The sequence below is a fragment of the Homo sapiens genome, chromosome 2 (genome assembly GCF_000001405.40).
Source record: "Homo sapiens chromosome 2, GRCh38.p14 Primary Assembly".
In the NCBI taxonomy this organism is placed as follows: domain Eukaryota; kingdom Metazoa; phylum Chordata; class Mammalia; order Primates; family Hominidae; genus Homo; species Homo sapiens.
The window spans coordinates 55969621-55990714 of record NC_000002.12 but is presented as its reverse complement, the minus strand read 5'-3'; the positions used below and the strand labels follow the sequence as shown (position 1 = coordinate 55990714).

The 21094-nt window shown below is 38.4% G+C and overlaps 2 long non-coding RNA genes and 2 other non-coding genes across 4 annotated transcripts in view, besides 2 other annotated features; 3 read left to right on the top strand and 1 right to left on the bottom strand.

Annotated features, from left to right (window-relative positions):
• Positions 1 to 21094, bottom strand: part of LOC105374690 (uncharacterized) — a 231734-nt gene that overhangs the window by 186843 nt on the left and 23797 nt on the right. The gene's annotated exons all lie outside the window — the stretch shown is intronic.
• The window catches only part of MIR217HG (MIR217 host gene), an 83921-nt gene that overhangs the window by 56612 nt on the left and 6215 nt on the right, over positions 1 to 21094 (top strand). The gene's annotated exons all lie outside the window — the stretch shown is intronic.
• MIR216A (microRNA 216a) lies at positions 1656 to 1765 on the top strand. Its single transcript, NR_029629.1, has one exon. It is a non-coding gene; the product is annotated as a microRNA 216a (primary transcript).
• Positions 5176 to 5265: an enhancer, noted in NCBI's record as "active region_15789". NCBI's record gives its function as "activates an Ori minimal core promoter by ATAC-STARR-seq in GM12878 lymphoblastoid cells {active_cell/tissue: GM12878}" and the evidence as "EXISTENCE:reporter gene assay evidence [ECO:0000049][PMID:35858748]".
• Positions 5296 to 5355: an enhancer, noted in NCBI's record as "active region_15788". NCBI's record gives its function as "activates an Ori minimal core promoter by ATAC-STARR-seq in GM12878 lymphoblastoid cells {active_cell/tissue: GM12878}" and the evidence as "EXISTENCE:reporter gene assay evidence [ECO:0000049][PMID:35858748]".
• MIR217 (microRNA 217) lies at positions 7639 to 7748 on the top strand. The gene has a single exon (NR_029630.1). It is a non-coding gene; the product is annotated as a microRNA 217 (primary transcript).

The following is a 21094-nucleotide window of genomic DNA, read 5'->3' as shown; positions in this document are numbered from 1 at the left end:
ATACTCCTGTCACTTCTCTATGGTAACTTTTCACTATTAAACTTTCTAGAGAGAAAGGAAAATCAAATATAAGATTAAGAGAAAAGAAAAAACTGAACGTCATTCATGTTGCTCTGAGAAGCCCTTGTTTTTTGATTAAGATAAAATCTGCTTATTTTTAATCCTGAGCAATTTGACTCCAGAAAATAAACTTAGAACAATATTTAAAAAGTTAAATCCTAATGATGAGACATTCTTATTTTACAAAAGTAGCTTTGTACTTAGGAGTCCATATGAGGCACAAGATTATATTCAATTGTTCTTTCTCAATTGTTTTGTAACTTTATATTTACCTGACTTTTAAAACGAAAAGCCACTTTTCTAACTCTGTAAATTACCACTCTCTTAATTGTGTCAAGTCTCAATTATTAAAGGACAAGTTATGAGCTGAAATCCATAATTCTTTGCTTCAACAAACATTTGATTTAGTTTGACAAAATTTTTTTGAGCACTTATTAAACATCAGATGCTAAACTGAGAATAGTATAGTTGAGGATATAGAGATGAATAAGCACAGTGCCAACACTTGGAAGTTTGCAGTCAATGAAGGAGAAAGCATGTGAGTGAGAAAACACCATTGTGTATTACAGGTGCCAAAAAAGGGAGACTGGGGAGAGAAGGCAGTGTGTGATAGTTTTCAATGTGTGACTGTCACACAAGGGGGTGTGTGTGTGTGTGTGTGTGTGTGTGTGTGTGAAAGAGAGAGAGAGGAGGGAGAGAGAAAGAAGAAATAATTCCAAGTATGGGCAAACACAGCTCATTGGATTCTCAGAACTTGTTAGAGCTGGAGTCTACAATGTAGAGGAAGAAATGGTCTAGTATGAAGTGAAGCTGGAGAAAGGCAGTGGAAAATCTCCACCGAAGTGCAAATCGCAGCCACCAAAACCAGACCTACTGAATCAAAATATAGAGGTAGGTCCTGGGGATCTACATTTGTAACAAGTTTCCTATGTGCTTCTTACACTCACTCAAGTTGAGATGCCATCCACGGCAGATGGTGGGGAAACTCTGAGGGCGTTTCCTCTTCCTTCCGTTCTTAATCATTATTCTTACCATTGATTAGCCCCACCCAGTGGACTGAGGGGCTTAGATCATGGCTCAGTCTCACTTAGCCATGACAGTGATGTGGGCAAGAGGGGAGGACATACCACCATCTATGAAAGGTAATAGCCACCGCTATTGACACATCTGGCCATTTGGTGAGTATACGGTCATTACTTTTTCAACGTAATTGCTGGTTTTCTTGTCTGAGGACAAATTTTAGAGTGTTTGGCTTTGATGTTTCCAAGTTCTCTATAAAGCTTGTTTAAAAAATCATTTTTAGTGATTGGTTTTACATTCACCTGTACTCCTACTTGGCTGTTTCTTACTATATATGGATTAGAGTAAATCCTTTCTAAATGCAAAGATTATACTTTTATGACATTACATGCAATATAGCATATGCCAGAAATCTGTGAATTCAGCAAGAGGAGTAGCTTGATAATGTCGCCTCAAGAAAAATGCAGAGGGGTACATCAGGGCTTCTGCTGGTGCACTCGATGTATGAAGATGTGCTTCCACCTGAGGCAGCCACGTGCCTCTGCTCATACACTTTCTCTTGCAGGTCTAACACGGATGGCTGTGAGTTGGCTTAATCTCAGCTGGCAACTGTGAGATGTTCATACAATCCCTCACAGTGGTCTCTGGGATTATGCTAAACAGAGCAATTTCCTAGCCCTCACGAATCAAAAGACTTGCATGGCAACCAAAATTAAACACCAAATTTCTATTTCATGACCAAGACGGGGGGAAAAGTTTCGATGGTTACTGTTTCATGCTCAACCTCTTTTAATCTTAGTAAAGTCTTTTTCTAAAGTGCTGTTGTGCTGGAAAGGAAACCAGCCTTGGGAATTAATTTGCCTTTATTGGATTCGCTTGCTACTTACTGCGCTCCTTCAGTGCTACTTGGTTTTTTAAAAAATTGCAGCCAAGGGAGTTTGGGTGTTAGAAGCTGAACCCAAAATATTTTCCCTCTGAAAGCTCCTCCCACTCTCTTTGTGGGTGCTACTCCATCAAATTCCAAACAGTCTAAAAGAGGACGATCTCCTGCCAGGCCCTCCTCAAACTTCAACTCCCCAGATTATCACATTTAATCGCCCTTCCTCATTCCTTCTGTAAGTGTTTCACATTCATCTGCCCTAAATAATATTGAAATTTAGAATCAACTATGGCTTAGGCTGAGGTTGCCATGAAACTTTTGAGCTGTACCCAACTCTAATTCTCGGTGATCCCTGGAAACAGATAATCCTTTTCCATAAAAAGAATAAGAACAAATGTAATTCTTCAGGGTGAAAAATCAAGGCCAGTTATCTTCCTCATTCACCCAGTAACACAAAACAAATCAGATGAACCAAATTTATAATTAAATGTGGGATAACTTTAACAACAAAAATTATTAAAATGCTATTTCCAAGGTCTTGACTGGCACATATCCCCTCAGGTATCCTCAGAAAGAGAAGTCTGTATATCTCAGTTTGATTAAATTACATTTCTGGGCCGGGCGCAGTGGCTTACGCCTGTAATCCCAGCACTTTGGGAGGCTGAGGCAGGCGGATCATGAGGTCAGGGGATCGAGACCATCGTGGCTAACACGGTGAAACCCTGTCTCTACTAAAAATACAAAAAATTAGCTGGGCATGGTGGCGGGCACCTGTAGTCCCAGCTACTCAGGAGGCTAAGGCAGGAGAATGGAGTGAACTCAGGAGGCGGAGGTTGCAGTGAGCCAAGATTGCGCCACTGCACTCCAACCTGGGCGACAGAGCGAGACTCTGTCTCAAAAAAAAAAAAAAAAAAAATTACATTTCTGTATCAAGGCACATTAGTATGACCTATTAGATTTCCTTGCCAGAAATTGATGTTGAGCAGTAGGAGGTAAGTTTGAGAACTAGTTATTCACATACTAATAGCACAAATACTGAACCATAAGCCAGGAAATAACTTACCTCTGGTAAGGAGAGGGCTTCGTATTAATTTTCAGGACTCATTAAGGGCTCTTTTAAGCTGCTGCTGAAACTTTCTAAATGTTGTCTGTATCCTCCTGCTAGTTGAAATAATCATTTTTTCAAACATGAAAAAATTCCCAATTCCAATTTTTGGTGACCATTTTTCAAAAAGGGAAGAAGATAAATGTAATTAAACAGAGCAGGAAATATTTTTTGAAGAGCTGAGTACATATGATGCATCAGGAACCATGCTTGTTGCCTTGCTTGTGTGTACACTCAGTGCACTCTTGCAGTCTCCAGATGTTCCCAGTGCTCTCTGCACATAGAGGCACAGGGAGCTTTTGAAAATGTCAATATCAAGGGCTGTGCCACTGATAAATCAGAATGCCTGGGATGGGATCTGGGCATCTCTGTTTAAGAGGCACCCAGGGGATTGTAATGTGCAGCCAAAGGTGAGAATCACTGTATTTGAGCTCAACAGGGAAGCTGTGGTTGGAGTGCAGTGAGAAAAACTGGAAGGAGAGGATTAGAGGGTATAGCTAGGTAGACTATGGTAAGAATTTGGGGTTTTAGTGTGAGGGACTCCACAAGCAATTGGAGAGTTTTAATTAAAGAAGTGGCATGACTTATTTACCAGTAACACAGTTTAATAGACTTTTCTTAGAATCTAACCATGTATAAACTTTAAAGAAAAATAGTTATTGTGGACTGCAAATAACTTCCTTGTCATTTAACTTTAGGAATGTAAGACCACAGGATAGGCAGATTCCAACCAAGAGGAAAGCTAGTATGAAAGAACAAAAAGGAAATTAGCTCAGAAATCAGGAGCCCCAACTCCTTTAGGCAACAGCTTGAGTCACTGTTTCAAGAAAAAAAGAAAATCACTTATCCTTTCAACACATAGATTCTGACTTTTCTTTTAAAGCTTAATAATTTTAGAATTACATCCTGGTAGTAATTAGCATCAAAATAAGTGAAGGATTTGGCATCTCTGTCAATGAGACATTCAAAATATCATTTGTTAGACTGGGTTTATGCCAGTCTTCAGTAAAAATAGAGTACAACAGGATTCCCACCCTTTTAGTAAAGAGGCTCTGTCTTGCTGATGACCGAAGACCTTGTTAGGGCTCCTGGGAACTAAGTCCTCAGCATTCCTAGCTCATCATCTCATTCACCAGCACCTAGAGCGTGGCACTTATTATCCCTTTTCCACCTGTACCATGAAGACTATGAAAGTCAAGGTGCAAGCAGCCGGCCTCTTAATCAGAGCAAACAAGCAGAACCTACTGCCAGTCCGCAGGACTAGACCTTAGATGTCTGCTGAATCTGTGATCCTGAGCTTTTGTTGAAAACCTGAATTATATTTCTGCCTGGTAAAGATGGCCCCAGGCTCCAAATGTTTGTCTTCTGTGGAAATCCAGATTAGAGTTTTCTGTGGCCCTCCCCCATGCTGTACCACTAAATGATGAACACTTATTGAATGCCCAGAAAGTCCCACTTTTCCCTCCTTTGGCAGCCTGCCCTCAGCCCAACCAAAACAATAGCAAAACAAAATAAACAAAAATGGCTTCTGTTTTTAATGATCACTGCAAGATTCACCATGAAACTCCTATAGATGAGTCTCTATAACCGTCTTATCCAAGCCAGAGCTGTCTATCATTAAGGTAGAGCAGGACAGAAAGAGCTTTTCTGGTTACAGACTTAATTCTGTATCAGATAAGTCCCCTCAGGATCCGTAACCCTGCAAGGTACCCAATTTGGGCTCGTCACCTGGCATGGACATACCAGGAGGATCTCTCTGGAAAAACTCTTGAAATACCCTGGAAAGGGTGATCCTCTGCTTTTTAGTTATATTATACACACCTCAATTACTGGGAAATACTCTTCAGCATATACAATGCTCTAAAGATTGCTCAAAACTGTGACCTGAATTTTAGGATTCTGTTTTATAGTGGCCAATCTCAGTTGTATTGCTTACTATCATTTTGCATTGTCTACAGGCATGTTAGTTATATTTCCAAACTCAAGTAGTGATTAGTTGGCCAGAGAAAAGCAGAGTTTCTGTTCTGTGATTTCTCTGCGGTGAAAGGAAATGAAAACAGGAAGTTACAAATGTACTCCTTAAAGACCTATAATAATATAGTGACATTCAACAAGCAACATTCTTGAACTACAATAATTACTAGGACTTGAACTTCTATAGGTGCTCAATTCTGGCCTTTTTCCTTCTAGATCATCACATTCACTTACCAAGGTCCTGTTTGAGATCACCTGTTTCCAATAACTCAAATAGTCTCTGCCTAGGGTAGGGCACTGGTTCTAAAATTATGGCCCCTGGACCATATCACTAGAGAAGTTGTTAAAAATGCCAATTCTTGGGCCCCATCCCAGATTTACTAAATCAGAGACTCTAGGTGTGGGTCTCAGCAATCTATATTTTAACAAGCCTGTGGATTATTGCTCAACTTTGAGAGCCACTGGCCTAGAGGACCTTTTCACCCACCTTGATGAATCTCTCCTTCCCCATCTGATTCCCTGCAGTAGTTTGTAAGGAAAGATGACATTTTAATATCCAGTCATCCCAGCCAACTGTATCCCAGTCCTTGGGACTTTAAAACTTGCAGTCTTATGCTGGACACTCCAGATAATAGCCAAAAGAAGCCTAAAATTATGACAAGACTCCTGCCCTGTTATTTTTAATTAATGACACTACCTGAGGAAGATCACATAGAGCATATTTGCAACAATCAAATCTTAAGAAAGCCTATTCTTCACCTACTTTCACTATCTTATCACAATTCATCCCAGCACACAAATGACACAATACAAACTGGTTTCCCAATCACCACAAGAGTTGTTAACCCAAGTCCCTAATCTGTCAAATCTTGCTGCAAAACTCAGAAACTATAACTACAGAGAGACAATACTAACTAGAGGGGAACATCATGATGAACTGGCTTCTCAGGTGCTCCTCCTGGGGTTCCTTCTCCAGTAAGGAGTCTTTAGGTTTTCTAAGACCACTCTGCTTACAAGTCTTTGGCTTCATTTGAATACCCTTTAGAAAAGATATACAGATTTTAGGGAAATGTCTGGTAAACAATTGAGATACTGTATTTGATCACATATAAGACCTCTAGAGAGAGAAACAATAAGCTAGAAATTATGTCCCTAAGATACTTTAATGTACTCCAAATTTTCACTATCTGTAAAATGAAAATATGATTAACCTTAACTCTCAAGCCTATTTGGAATCCAGATAAATGAGACAGAAAGCCAAAAGTGGATTCTTCAGTCTCCATTTCTATGATCTTCACCTCTCAGCTCCACCTCTATTCTACTTCTGAATCCCCTACCCAATTATTTCCTACCCCTTATGTCCAAAATAGCCCATGTAAACTGGAGTCCCACTGGACAGAATGATGAATTTGCTAAGTAATATTAGAGTCCTTCATTCATTCTATATTTGGAGGCATTCTAGAGGATCAACTAGAATTTTCTAATGAGAGATTCTCCAAAAGATGACTAGCAAAATTATTAATAAGGTAGAAAACCTGTAACACTCTCAGAATTATAGGTTTGGCCACCACATTCTTCAAGTTGTTACATGCCTCCCATATGTACTAATTCTAAATCTAACTTTATCATTTCAGTGAGCTAGAATTCTAGTGTGGTTAAAGTAATATAATAAACAAGAAAACTTTTGGAAGTGATGAATATGTTTATTACCTTGATTGTGATAATGCTAATATCAGTGTGTATATATATATATATATATATATGTCCAAACTTACCAGATTATATACATGAAGATTCTGTATACCAATTATACCTCAATAAAGCTGGCAGGGAGGAAAACATAATAAACTTATCTTGAAAATGAAATACAGTTTATCCTAATCAATGAATCTAAAATTAAACAATTCATCAGAATTTTCTCATTCAAATCCACTTGAGGGCTTTAATATTTTTTAAATTATCATTTAAAAACAAGACTGAGTGGCTTAAGAAAAGCTATTTTTAGGCTCGGCACAGTGGCTCACTCCTGTAATTCCCACACTTTGGGAGGCCAAGGTGGGTGGATCACTTGAGGTCAGGAGTTCAAGACCAGCCTGGCCAACATGGTGAAACCCCATCTCTACTAAAAATACAAAAATTAGCTGGGCATGGTGGCAGGCACCTGTAATCCCAGCTATGTGGAAGGCTGAGGCAGGAGAATTACTTGAACCCGGGAGGCAGAGGTTGCAGTGAGCGGAGATCGTGCCATTGCACTCCAGCCTGGGCAACACAGCAAGACTCCATCTCAAAAAAAAAAAAAAGCTAAGGTGGCTTGATTAGTAGGTTAGATATAGAATTTTAAAAAGCTATTTTTAAAAAACCCTTTATAAATGCTTATTCACACTAGCACAATAGTTTGCCATGAAATAAATGTCTGTGCTAAGTTAGTCATACACGTTATATTGTAATATATCTCTCTTGGTAAATTGGGAAAATTATTTGTTAGTATGACTTTAGATTGCTTTATTAAGTGACATTAAAAAGAGTTTTTTAAATTGCAAATTTCATATGAAGGAACAAAAGAGAATAAAGTTGTTGCATTTGGAAATAAATGATATTTAGTATAATTATTACATAGTTTTTGATGTCGCAGATACTGCATCAGGAACTGATTGGATAAGAATCAGTCACCATCAGTTCCTAATGCATTGCCTTCAGCATCTAAACAAGCACCAGTAAATACCTCAAGTTAGATTTGCTGTGATGTGTTCATGGTCATCCAATAAAATACACAGTCTTAATTTAACCCTGAAGAGAAATGTTTCTTCAAGAGAGGTGAGCCCAAGATGCTAAAACACCTATCATTTACCACCGTTCTTGTGGATTTATCACTGAAACCAGAAGTACAAATCTAGTTGCGTGTTTATGCCTATGATACATTCGTACCTTCCTAGCTAAATACATTACTAAGTAAAACAACCTAAAGTTACTGATCATTTTTCTGTTTTGGGAGGAAAATGAATACTTTTTTTGTCGGTTTATCTTTGCTATTTTTTTAACCTAAGTGTTTATGGAGATTAAATAGGTATTGCTATTGGAATAAGGATTATTTCCCACTTGTAGCACTAAAATAAATGTTACTATAAGAAAAAGTGCTACAAAGTAATTACTATTAAAAAATACCATAGTAGCTGGGCATGGTGGCTTACTCCTGTAATCCTAGGACTTTAGAAGGCCAAGGCAGGAGGATTGCTTGAGCCCAGAAGTTTGAGACCAGACCAGCCTGGGAAACATAGCAAGACTCATCTCTAAAAACATAATAATAACCAGGAATGGTGGTGCATGCCTATAGTCCCAGCTACTTGGGAGGCTGAGGTGGGAGGATTGCTTAAGCCCAGGAGTTAGAGGTGTCAGTGAGCTATGATCATGCCACTGCACTCCAGCCTCGGCAACAGAGTGAGACCCTGTTTCTAAAAAATAGTAATAATAACATGTTAAATTCTACTTTCAATGAGTCTAAATTCACATATATTTCCAGAGTTTTCTGGTTGGAAGGTCAAGGTGGCTTGACTAGTAGGTTCATTATACTTCACTCACTAATTCATTTATTGAAAATTTATTGAACACCTATTATGTGCTAGGTACTATTCTAAGCACTTGCGATAAGGCAGTGAGCAAAACAAAACAGGCACAGTGGCTCACATCTGTAATCCCAGCACGTTTGGGAGGCCGAGGCGGGCAGATCACCTGAGGTTGGGATTTTGAGACCACCCTGGCCAACATGGTGAAACCCCGTCTCTATTAAAAATATAAAAATTAGCCAGGCATGGTGGTGCACGCCTGTAATCTCAGCTACTTGGAAGGCTGAGGCACAAGAATTGCTTGAACCCAGGAAGTAGAGTTTGCAGTGAGCTGAGATCATGCCACTACACTCCAACCTGGGCAACAGAGTGAGACTCTGTCTCAAAAAGAAAACAAACCAAAGTCACTTCCTAAGGAACTTTACACACTAATAAAGGAAGTAAACAACTAAAAACTTAATTTATATTATTCTTCATAAAATCAAGAGTTTTCAGAGGAGCAACAGTCTTGAAATAAATATGCTTTGACATGGATTGAACATTATTGGATACAAGTAATTATATAAATTGTGTGGATACTTACCATATAGTATTGTTTACCTACATAACAGGAGGGCTCTCTGAAAGAAAATGATATTTATTCAGAAATAGAGCATTGCAATGGAAATACATGTGCCATTGTAAACTATGTGCATATTCAGGGAGGTAAAGGAAGACAAAGGTTTGTAAAGGAAAATTGAGGAGGATTAGATAATTGTTTTAAGATAATTATCCTTGGCTACAAGGATCAATAACAATGGTGGCACTAGTCCAAGGTTGGGTAGGCACTTATTCGGCAAATGTCTTTAAAGAATTATTTTTTTGTGCAAGGTTCTGGTTTTTGCAAAGTCTTTCATGATAGTTTTTGTTATTAGGCATTTATGAATGAGAATCTTCTCTTCATTATTTTTTTCCCAGCTCTATTTGTCAGGGTTGTTTTTTTAACATGAGTTACTCTATTTTTATTCTGACAACTTTTACATTTCCCCCTTTTTGATCAATATCTTTCTCCAAAAACATCACTGATCAATTATCCTATATTTAGATTTTGACATCCCTCAGTGCCTGGCCTGGCTGGATCTGGTGCAGGTTGCTGGTCTGATCTCGTATAGGAGGGTGTGAATGGCAGCTGGGAATCAGCGTTAAAGCCCTTTTAAAGCCACATTTGAGCAACAAAGAAGGTTTGAAGGGAGAGCCTCTCAGGCTAAGTCTACCAGGAGTCCATTATTAAGTTCAATTTTGTCTGTTTTGTAGCCTTTGGCTGTCACTTCAAAGTGCTGGGACAGCATTATTCTGTTAGAAGTTGTATTTCTGAAAAAATGTAATGAGTAACAGATACAAAATTCGAGAAAGGGAAATTCAAAGTAAGATTAATAGTAATATGACAATCCCAGTTTGCATGTAGTTTAAAGCCATGAAACCTATGCTTACAGGCAACCAATCGAGTAAATCAAATGACCATTATCCTGCCGAAAGAAAAAGGTAGACATTAAGAGGGGTAAGAGACTCATCATAATATGGAATCTTGTTCTGACATCTTCGGAAAAGTTCTCTATGGTGTAAAAACTTCAACCTCTTGTCCTGGTTTTCAGTTTAAATATGTCCGTTTAAGGAATTGGAGAGTTTGGTGAACTTTTTCTGGGACCCTTACATCAGGCATGAGACTTGTTTCTTGAAATTCATCTAGTTTCAGCTTATGAAGCTTCAGGAACAGAGGTTCAGTTTTTAATAATTTCAAGGGAAAAAAAGTTGAATTGGAGGGATCTGGAAGAATTCATGATCTAGTCTAGTTTATAGGTTGATAACAAGGACTTGAAATAATACACAGAGCTACAATCTAATAACAGGTGTATTATAACTCTCCTTTGGAAACATAACGTTTTCTTTCTAAATTGGTCACTTAGGAATCTCAGATTTAAAAACCTCTTGAGGCTAGGAAGCCAAGCCAAAGCAGACTTTAGATTTCATCTATAGTCTTAAGGTTCCTGGACCTGTCAGGAAGTGAAATTTTTAATCTATTCACTTTAATGCTGAAAACCCTTGAAGCCAGGCATTCTATGTGCATTTTCAAATATGATATTCCAGTCAAAGCCTTGGTAATATAACTAACGTTGCCAGCTATAAAGAGAAAACAGATTTTTATTGGTTTAATTTATTTGGAAATTTTCATCCAGACATGTAATTTATGTCTATTAATTCCACATAAAATAACTTTAAAATCTCAAATTATATGAAAATTTATTTATAAACATTTACCTCTTTCAAATTACCTAATTTATTTATTTTTAACAATTTTATGAAAATTACTTATGAAAACTGAGATATTAGGAAAAGCTCTAGTCATCATTTCAAGTTATTTTCCTGTTAACCATTGTTTAGCCTGTGAATATCAGGTGCTCACCTAAATAAGAATCTTAAAGTTAAATATATGGATATTTTACTGATAAATACAGCTGTTTTTAGTAAGCCAACAATATTAAATTAGTCTTATCAAGCAATTACACAAACAAAGATCATTCTGTTTTAGGCTGGGTTTAGTCTTATAACCTTTGTGTCAAACCTTGACACCTTAAAACATCTAGCAGAGACAAATATGAAACTGTCTGACCAGTAGACCCTGGGAAAAATGTATACAGACAATTTTGAAGACATTTTTATTTTTATTTTACCAATGATTTTAAAACTAGCTTATTTAAAGATTTGCTTAAGTCACAAGAACTAAAAGGCATTTGGGTTAATTACCATATATTTTATATGAGTGCTCCATTTATCTAAGCCAATCTGAATAGAATTTCCTAAGGGATTTCTGTCTGACCATACTAGATTTTAAAACATAGACACAACATATAACATGATATATACACATATGCATAAACATACCTAAACACATATATACACAAAGATCTTATAGCTTTCATTTTAGAATTTTAGTCACAAGACAGTGAAACATACAAAGTCACTGGTTTATAAAAGACAATTGGATCTATATTACATTCCTGACAAAATGTAACCCATTTATGTAACTAAAACTATTATTTCTCCTGATAAGTAATCTAATGAAGTTTATGGACCAAAATTTTGGGTAAAGCAGTTTCTGTAGTAGTTTGATTTATTAAAAAAAAAAAAATTTTATCCCTTTTTTAGTTTCAAATAAGTTTAGGGTTAAATTTTCAATGTTTGCATTTTAGCTGGAACTGGCTGAATTGTACGAGAAAAACGGATCTCCAAGTGGCCTTGAATTTTTAGTAACAAATCGCTCTTTTCATTTGCTCTTCTTGTTTGCTTGACTAGTTAATGTGGGTGGAGAAGCATTTTAGCAAGGTTTTTTTTTTTTTTTGGCTTTTTCTTTTTGGCCCCTGCATGTCAGGCAATGAAATATTTATGCCAGACGGAGACACCTTATTTTATTGCTCTGAGCTCGAGATTTTGACCTGTTTGATCTGAGAGCCTACGTTTTATATACATTTATGTAGTTACGGACTATCAATCCTTCAATTAACTGCTCCACTGCCCTAAGCAATTGTTAGTCAGACACACCTAAATGTACATTAAAAGGGATTGCTCTTAGGTTTAGACTGTTGGTTACCATGAAGCTGTTGTAATTTTTAAAGTCATTAATTTGAAAGCCCTCTAAGGTTTTTTTTTTTAATGTTGTCTAGAATGCCACAATCACTAAGTTTTATTTCAGCACTTGTAGAAAAGTCAGCATATTCAAAATAGGCAGAAAAAAAATAGAGAAAGATAACTTGGAAAGCTCTATGTGTTAACCATATAGTTCTAGAGGTTTTTAGACAGTTTGAACAATGACCATTTGGGCTCTGAATCTTCCCTGATGTAATTTGCTCATCAGTTTAGAAATGTGCACAAGTATAGGCCATTTAGAAACGTGCGTTAAGTATGGGCCATAATATAGCTGGCTGGGGTCCCAGAACACCTCGTATACCTTAATGTTTGAGGATCCCATTCTGTTTCTTATCAATCTCTGATGAGTAAAGAACATCCTATAAATCCTGTTATAGGATTGGACTGATGTTTTAGATGGTGGCAACTCACTAGGGGCTTTTAATTAGCCATCCAGCACACACCATTTAAGATGTTTATTTTTGCTCTTCGAAGATTTTTAGAAGCAAGCAAGGGAAAGGAGTGAAATAATTTACAGATGCACATAACCAAGCTAAAATGAAATTAAGATAAAAGTATTCACAAAAATGTTAACCCAGGTGTGCAGATGAAACAAAATATTCAATTAGGCATACAGAAAAACCAAAAGTAAATTCACTGGGTAAGATGTGCCTCAAAGACAGAATGTAAACTCCACAGAAACAAGATTACTCAAAACAAAAGGACACTTGCCTTTTATACCAAAAATGACTTGTCAGAAATACATATATATATATCTTATTATTGTAGGAGGCATGTAAGATCTTTTATGTAAGGTGGTCTTGTAACCAAACCAAATCCTGAATAAAATCAAGAGTTTCTACCAAAAAGAGGGAAGCTCAGCCTGAGAAAAGACTTACCAGGGCAGAAGTGAGCCACGGAAGCAGAAAGCTCAAAGGTCTCAAATGAGAACGGCATACCAGCCCCAGAAATCACCTGTTCCTTCTGATAGTGATCCTTTCTCAGGTCCCACTTCTGGATGCCATTTATATCAACTTAAATGGCAATCAGAGAGAAGCTTTCTTAAAAATATGATATGAATTTGGGAATAAGTAATTGCATTCCAATGGGAATACATGTGCCATAGTAAACTATTGCATATTCAGAAGGTAAAGGAAAACAAAGATTTTTAAAGAAAAAATGAGGATTACCTAATTGTTTTGAGATAATATCTTTGGCTACAAGGATTAATAACAAGAGTGACACCAGTCCAAGGTTGGACAGGCAGCTGCTGAGCAGAGGTCCTAGCAGAAGCTTGTGCAAGGTTGCAGTTTTTGCAGTCTTTTGCGATAGTTTTTGTTTTCTGGCATTTATGAATGAGAATCCTCTCTTCATGTCCTTCCCCAGCTCAGTTTGGCAGAGGGTTTTTTTTTTTGGCACAGCAACTCCATTTTGATTCTGACAACTATCACACTATATACTGTACAGATGTTATGTATATCTATTTTATGGACTTAGCTGAATATGTTCCCTGAAGGGAGAAAAGGCTACTATGCAAGATATCTGTATTCACTTTCCTGCAGGTAATGTGAAACATAAATTTAATGTTTCTTAAATATAACTCAAATATAAACCATATGGCCCACTTTCAGTGGAGTGTTGCATTAAAAAGAAATACAGGCCAATGGCCATAAGTCATTCAAAAAATTGTTTCCACTTCTATTTATATCTGAAAAAGAGCAGAAGCAAAAAACAATTTATAACCTTCAGCACTACTTCTAGGAATCTCTTCTGGTTCTTAATGCCCCCATAGCTGCTCAATGTCTATTTTCTAACCCTTAAAAGCCCCAGCCCGTTTGGCTTATCTATACCTCTTTTCTTCCTCCTTTCCTCCCACCTCTCCAGTTTCCTCTCTCCGTCACTCTCTTTTTTCTCTCCCTACCCACCCTTACAGATCAGACCCTTAGCTTTTCATTCTATCGGTTCCTTCCATTCTTCCTTGCCTGCCATACCCAACTCTGTTTCATTCTCTAGACATTTACGTAGCTAGCTCTTACTTTGTCTCCACACTTTTTAAGAAACACCTTCTCCAACTGCCCTATTTAAAATATCCCCTCCAATCCATCACTTTCTATCCCCTTATCTGGCTTTTTCTTCATAGTATCTATCACTACTTGACATTTGGTTACATATTTGTTTGTTTGGAGTTTTTTATTGTCTGTCATTTCTACCAGAATAGAGGTACCTAAGAGCTGGAACTATGTAGTGTTCACTATGTTATCCCTAGTACCTAGACCATTTCCTGGCACATAGTGGGCTCTAGAAATTATTTGGATAGTAAGTGGATTAGTGAGAAACAAGCGGTTTGTATTGAAAATCATCATTTTAATTCTCCTTTCCAGAGAAATAGTATATATCTGAATATGAAAGTTTAGAAACCCTTCTAGTTAGGTCTTCAGGCCTTTTCTCCATCTACAGTCTCTTCTGAGGGAAAGTAGGGATTGGGTATTTAGTTTCATATCTTTAAATACTATCCATATGTTAATGAATCACAAATTTATATCTCTAGCCTGACTATTCCTTGTGCTCCAGACCAATATATGCAGTTCTTGGATTGGACTGATTGAGAAGGAAGGGGATCCTGAATGTTACAATAGCCATAAGTAAGAAGACAGTGATAAAGCTGGGGACATTAAGCCTCTAAGTTTTGGTGAGTTTTTGTCCTCTCCACTCTTATCTGAGGAGATTAACCCTGCAGTGCCTGAGAAAAGTATAATGACCTCCCCTGAGGCAGTTGCCATGCAAGACAATGCTGAGTCTTCTCACCACTCACCCCCCACCCTCCTCTTCCCACCCCCCCCACCCCCCCACCCCCCCACCCCGACTCCTCTTTGCTTCTAGACCTATAATTAAACTCAAGTCCCAGCAGGCATCTAAAGATGAGGTACAAAGTGTGGCCCATGACAAGGTGTGCTGTACTTCAAAAGAACTACAGTACTTAGGTTTTCTAACTTACACAGACAGAAATCCATGGAACATGTGTGGAAAGGAATATTAAGGGTATGGAATAATGGTGGAAGGAACATGAAATAAGATCAGGTCAAATTTGTTGATATGGGCTCACTAACCAGAGATTCTGTGTTTAATGTTTCAGCTTGGGGACTTAGAAAGGGCTATAATTGTTTGACTGGTTGGTTGGTTGACTGGTTGGCTGAAACATGGATCAAAAGATAGCCCACCATTAGCAAATTTGAAATGCCCCATATCCCTCAGTTTAATGTAGAGGAAGGGGTTGAAAGGCTTAGGAAAATTGGAATGTTGGAGTGGATTTTTCATTTAAGACCTACTAACCCATCCTAGAATGGTCCAGTAAACATATCTTTCATCACAATTAAAAGAAATAAGTTTGTGAACGGAGCCCCAGCATCCTTGAAGAGCTCTGTGATTGCTCTTTTCCATAGGCCAGATTTCACAATGGGAACTGCAGTTACTGAACTGGGAAACCTAAATGCAATGGGAATAATTCGATTCTGGGATGGGAGGGGCCAAGTGGCAGCATTCAACCCCCAAAGGCATGGTAGGCATGATTACCAGAATGAACAGCAGAGTCGAAGCAGCAGTTAAAATAACATGGCTCACACAGACCTATGGCATTGGCTATTTGATCATGGTGTTTATAGAAGTGAAATAGTTAGGATGCCTACTAAGTTCTTACTTGATCTGTATAAGCAGAAAAGTTCTACGTCAACTGAATAAAAGTCAAACTTGAACCATAAAAAGAGTCACAGCCACTCAATTGATTCCCAGACTTAACTGGTTTACAGACCCAGAACCCCTTGAATGAAGGGGAAGCCAGGTACTCTTGAAGAAAGACCTTGATACACTGCCAAAAATTAATAATATTTCTCTCAGCCTACCCCAAAGGGATCCATGGCCTTTTACCAAGGGAACTGTGAATTTGGGAAAAGGAAATAATCAGATCTTTCGGGAATTACCAGACATAGGCTCTGAACTGACATTAATTCCAGGAGATCCAAAAGTCACTGTAGCCCACTAGTCAGGCTAGGGGCTTAGGAGAAATCAGTTTAATTCAGGCCTATCTCACAGTGTGTCCAGTGGGTGCCCAAAGCCATCCTGTGGTGTTTTTCTCCATTTTGGAATGCGTATTTGGAATAGACATACTCAGCAACTGGCAGAATCCCCACATTAGTTCCCTGAACTCTGGAGTAAGGGCTATTATGGTGGAAAAGGCCAAACAGAAGCCACTAGAACTACCCATACCTAGGAAAGTAGTAAGCCAAAAGCAATACCACATCCCTAGAGAGATTTCAGAGATTAGCACCACCATTAAGGACTTGAAAGATGCGGAGGTGATGACTCCTACCACATCCCCATTCATTTTTCCTATTTGTCCTGTACAGAAGACAGATGGATCCTGGAGAATGACAGTGGATAATCATAAACTTGAGCAAGTGATGACTCTAACTGCAGCTGTTGTACTAGATATGGTTTTATTGCTTGAGCAAGGTAACACATTCCCTGGTATTTCTCATGCAGCTATTGATCTGTCAAACAGATTTTTCTCAATGCCTATTAGTGAAGACCCCCAGAAGCAGTTTGCTTTCAACTGGCAAGGATAGCAATACACCTTCACTGTTCTACCTCAAAGGTAAATATCACAGTAGTTCATTACATTATACCATTATGCTGATTGGACCTAGCGAGCAAGAAGTAGCAACTACTCTACCACTTATTGATAAGACATTTGCATATAAGAGGGTAGAAAATAAATCTGACAAAAATTCAGGGGCCTTCTACCTCAGTGAAATTTCTAGGGGTCCAGTGTTGTGGGGCATGTTGTGATGTCCCTTCCAAGGTGCATCTGACCTCACCTACAACCAAGAAAGAGGCATAATGCCTGTTGGGCCTCTTTGGATTTTGGAGGCAATGTATTTCTTATTTGGGTGTGTTATTCTCACTATTTACTGAGTGCCTTTTTGTAAGATATCCCTGAAGGACAGTGGTGAAGGGAAATCTGCCCAGTAAGAAGAATACCTGGTTGTGCACTTTGCTTAGCAAGAAACATGGCCAGATGTACAACTATGTACAATGTGAATGGCTGTAGCTAATGGTTTATCTGGATGCTCAAGAGCTTAAGAGGAACATGATTAGAAAATTGGTAACAAATTTGGGGAGAGGTATATGAATAGATCTCTCTCAATGGGCAAAAATGTGTAAAAATATTTGTGTCTCATATGAATGCTCATCAAAGGGTGACCTCAGCAGAAGAGGATTTTGATAATCAAGTGGATAAGATGACCTGTTCTACAGATACCAGTCAGCCTCTTTCCCCAAACACCCCTGTCATCACCCCGTGGGCTCATGAACAAAGTGACCATGATGGCAGTATGGGGGTATGCACGGGCCCAGCAACAAGGGTTTCTACTTCCCAAGGGCAAGCCAACCGTGGTCACTACTAAGTGCCCAATCTGCCAGCAGAGACCAACACCGATTCCCCGATATGACACCTTTCCCCGAGTAATCAGCCAGCTACCTGGTAGCAGGTTGGTTACACTGGACCTCTTTCTTCATGGAATGAGCAGTGTTTGGTCCTTACTGCAGTTATCACTTACTCTGGATCTGGATTTTCCTCCTCTGCCTGCATTGCTTCCATCAAAACTACCATCTTACAGAATGCCTTATCCACCCTCATGGTATCCCACATAGCACTGCTTCTCATCAAAGAAATCTCTTCACAGCAAATGAAGTTAGTCACCACCGGTGCCTTTCATATGAAGTAGCAGAAAAAGGGAAGGAAAGAAAACAGTTAATATCCAAACATTGTTCTGTTCAATTGGAAGCTGAGACTCCTTGGGGCTCCTAATACCACTAGCAGGCAAGGTGTACTGGGCAAGGCCATTGACCTCAGTTACCAAGGGTAAATCAGGTTGCTGCAGCACATAGTAGGGGCAAGGAAGACTGTGTCTGGGAGCCAGGGATTTCGTGGTACACACTTCAGTAGTCCTATGCCCAAAAATACTGATCAGTGGGAAATTATGGTAACCGAATAAAGATAAGATCACTAAGAATTTGTATCCCATAGGCATAAGGTTCGATTAACCCCACCAAGTAAAAAATTCTGACCAGCCAAAGTTCTGGCAGAGGGCAAGGGAACATGGAATAGGTGGAACACAGAATTAACATAATGATTATCAACATAGGACATATGACCAGCTACAGAAGCAGGGACTACAGCAGCCCCCAATTTAACAGAATTGTGACGTATGTTCCCTGGCAGAAGTCATCCTCTCTTAGACAACAGGATCTCCAAACCCACCCATCCCAAGGTTTTAAGGAGAGGGAATGGCTAATTAATTGTTTATTATTATTATTAGGTATTTATTGTTATGATGATTCTTAGGTATAATAGTGAAAGAGGCAATTTCTACCTCCACCCCTCAAACATGAAAACTGCCTGTATTGCCTGATGGATAAACAGCCTCCTCCTCTATAATGTTCTTTCCTCAATCTTTGCATTGGTTTGTTTCTAGACTCAGCTCAAATATGATCTCTTCAAAGTAGCCTTCCATGACCACCTGTCATCTAAAACAATGCACTGTCTCCATCCCTACAATCATTATCTTGCTGCATATTTTATTTCCTTCCCAGTATTTCACAGGCTCTGAAATTATCTTTTTATTTCCTTGTCTATCCCCTTTCTTCCCCCACTCCACAAAGCCTGTGACTTTGTCTTATTTCTTCAGTACTTAGAACAGTTCCTGGTACATAGAAGAAGCTCACAAAATATTTCTCAATAACATAAGGACTTCTGGCCTCCAAGAATATAAGGCAAGAGAAAACCATGTACCAAAGTTCAAGTATGAGCCCTTCAAGTATGATTCCTGCAGAGGGGACAATTCTTTTGCTACAAGGAGAAACTCAAGAGGATAGGTGTAGAACTGACAACTATTCTAAAATATTCTGTAATTATCTGTATTTTCTATCTTAAAGTGACAATGATGGAATAGGATTCAGAAGGGAAATATTTAAGCATGCTGCTTTGACTTAATTATAGGCACAAAATGAAAATTTGGATTTTTGAGAGAAAGAACACTAGAAGCGGCCCATACTGACTCTAGTGTAGCCCCTCTTTGAAAGAGGCAAAATGAAATTTGGAATGTGTAGTTTCGGGGTGCTGCGTTGGAAGGACTGTAAAGAAATTTGTGAGGGCTGTGAGGACAACTGTGTCTTATTCTCTATATCATGCCATCACTCAGCAAAGCTCACAGCATTAAGGATGAGAGGTGGAAGCATTTGAGGAACTTTATAAAATGTGTTTGCATCCACATCGCAGAAGTAAAGCTGGGCTACACCCAGCAACTAATTTCCACAGTGGAAAATGCACCATCTGAGGTGCATTTCATTTCCTGGGAGGCAAATGACAAACCACAATGTAATTTCTCACACGTTTGACCGAAGAATCCCAATACTGTTGTGTTCATCTGGACCAGAGGCACAGGATGGGCATGTCTGTTCCCCATTACTGCCTCACTGAACTGGATGGAGGAACAACTTGGGAATGGGGACCATGGCCCATGTCATGTCAATTACAGATAGCAAACCTCCCACACAAGTACCCTAGTTTATAAATAATAGGCCCTCTGAGAACCCACATGACATCCTAAGTGCTGGATGGTACATCTGAAAGCACTGAGAGAGCTGAAAATCACAGACAGCCAAGTAAGTCCCTGCTGAATACATATCTAAGGAGCTTTGCATGCATTGTTTATTCCAGCAACTTTATGGAATAAATTACGTACAACAAATTAGTTTCAGATGGTAGGATATGAAGAGCTGATGTGCTGTATAAAGGAAGGTGAACTCCCACTTTTGACCCAACCACTTCCCATCTCGGGCATCTCAGACTCAGAATTCAGATGCAATTCATTTCTGAAATGCAGTGGAGATCAGAAAGTTAATAAGTGATGAGGTTTAGAGATTTCAAAAAGAAATTTATGAGTATTGTTAACTCATTATATTATCCTATGATTTCTGGTTGTTATATGTGAAACCATAGGTAAAATTGAACCCATCCTTCCTTCATTCCTTCATTATGCACAGCAAGCAAAAATAAATGTCTTCCTGACATTTCCAACCTGCACAGAAATTCCATAATAGATTCAACTCAACACACATTTAAAACCTCACTGCCTACCATACTGGGATGTCATCAAATTACTGAAAGAGACATAATGTCTTTCTCTATTCACCCTGAAGTCATAAATTATTTTTTAAATTAACACAGTAAAATTGACTTATTTTGGTGTATAGTTTTGTGAATCTTACTACATGTATAGATTCATGGAACCAACACTGCAGTCAGGGTAATAATTCTAGCACCCCCAAAATTGCCTAACATTATTACTACTTTACAGTCCCTCTCCTACTTTAAGCACTAGCAAACCACTGGTCTGTCCTCTGTCACTATAGTTTTGTCTTGTCAAGAATGTCACATAACTTTTGTCATGTAACTTTTCACTCAGCAAAATGCCTTTGAGATTCATCTAAGTTGCTCCATGTCTCAATAATCTGTTCCTTTTTATTGCTAGGTGATACTCTGTTATATGGATATACCACAGTTTGTTTATCCATTCACCCTTTGGAGGACACGTAGTTATTTTCAGTTTTTAACAATTACAAATAGAGCTGCTGTAAACATTTATGTATGAGTTATGTTGTGAACATAACTTTTCATTCTCTTGGGTAAATACCTAGAAGTGGGATTGCTGGGTCACATGCTACACGTATGTCTATAAGAAATTGCCAGACTTTTTACAGAGTGGCTATACATAATGT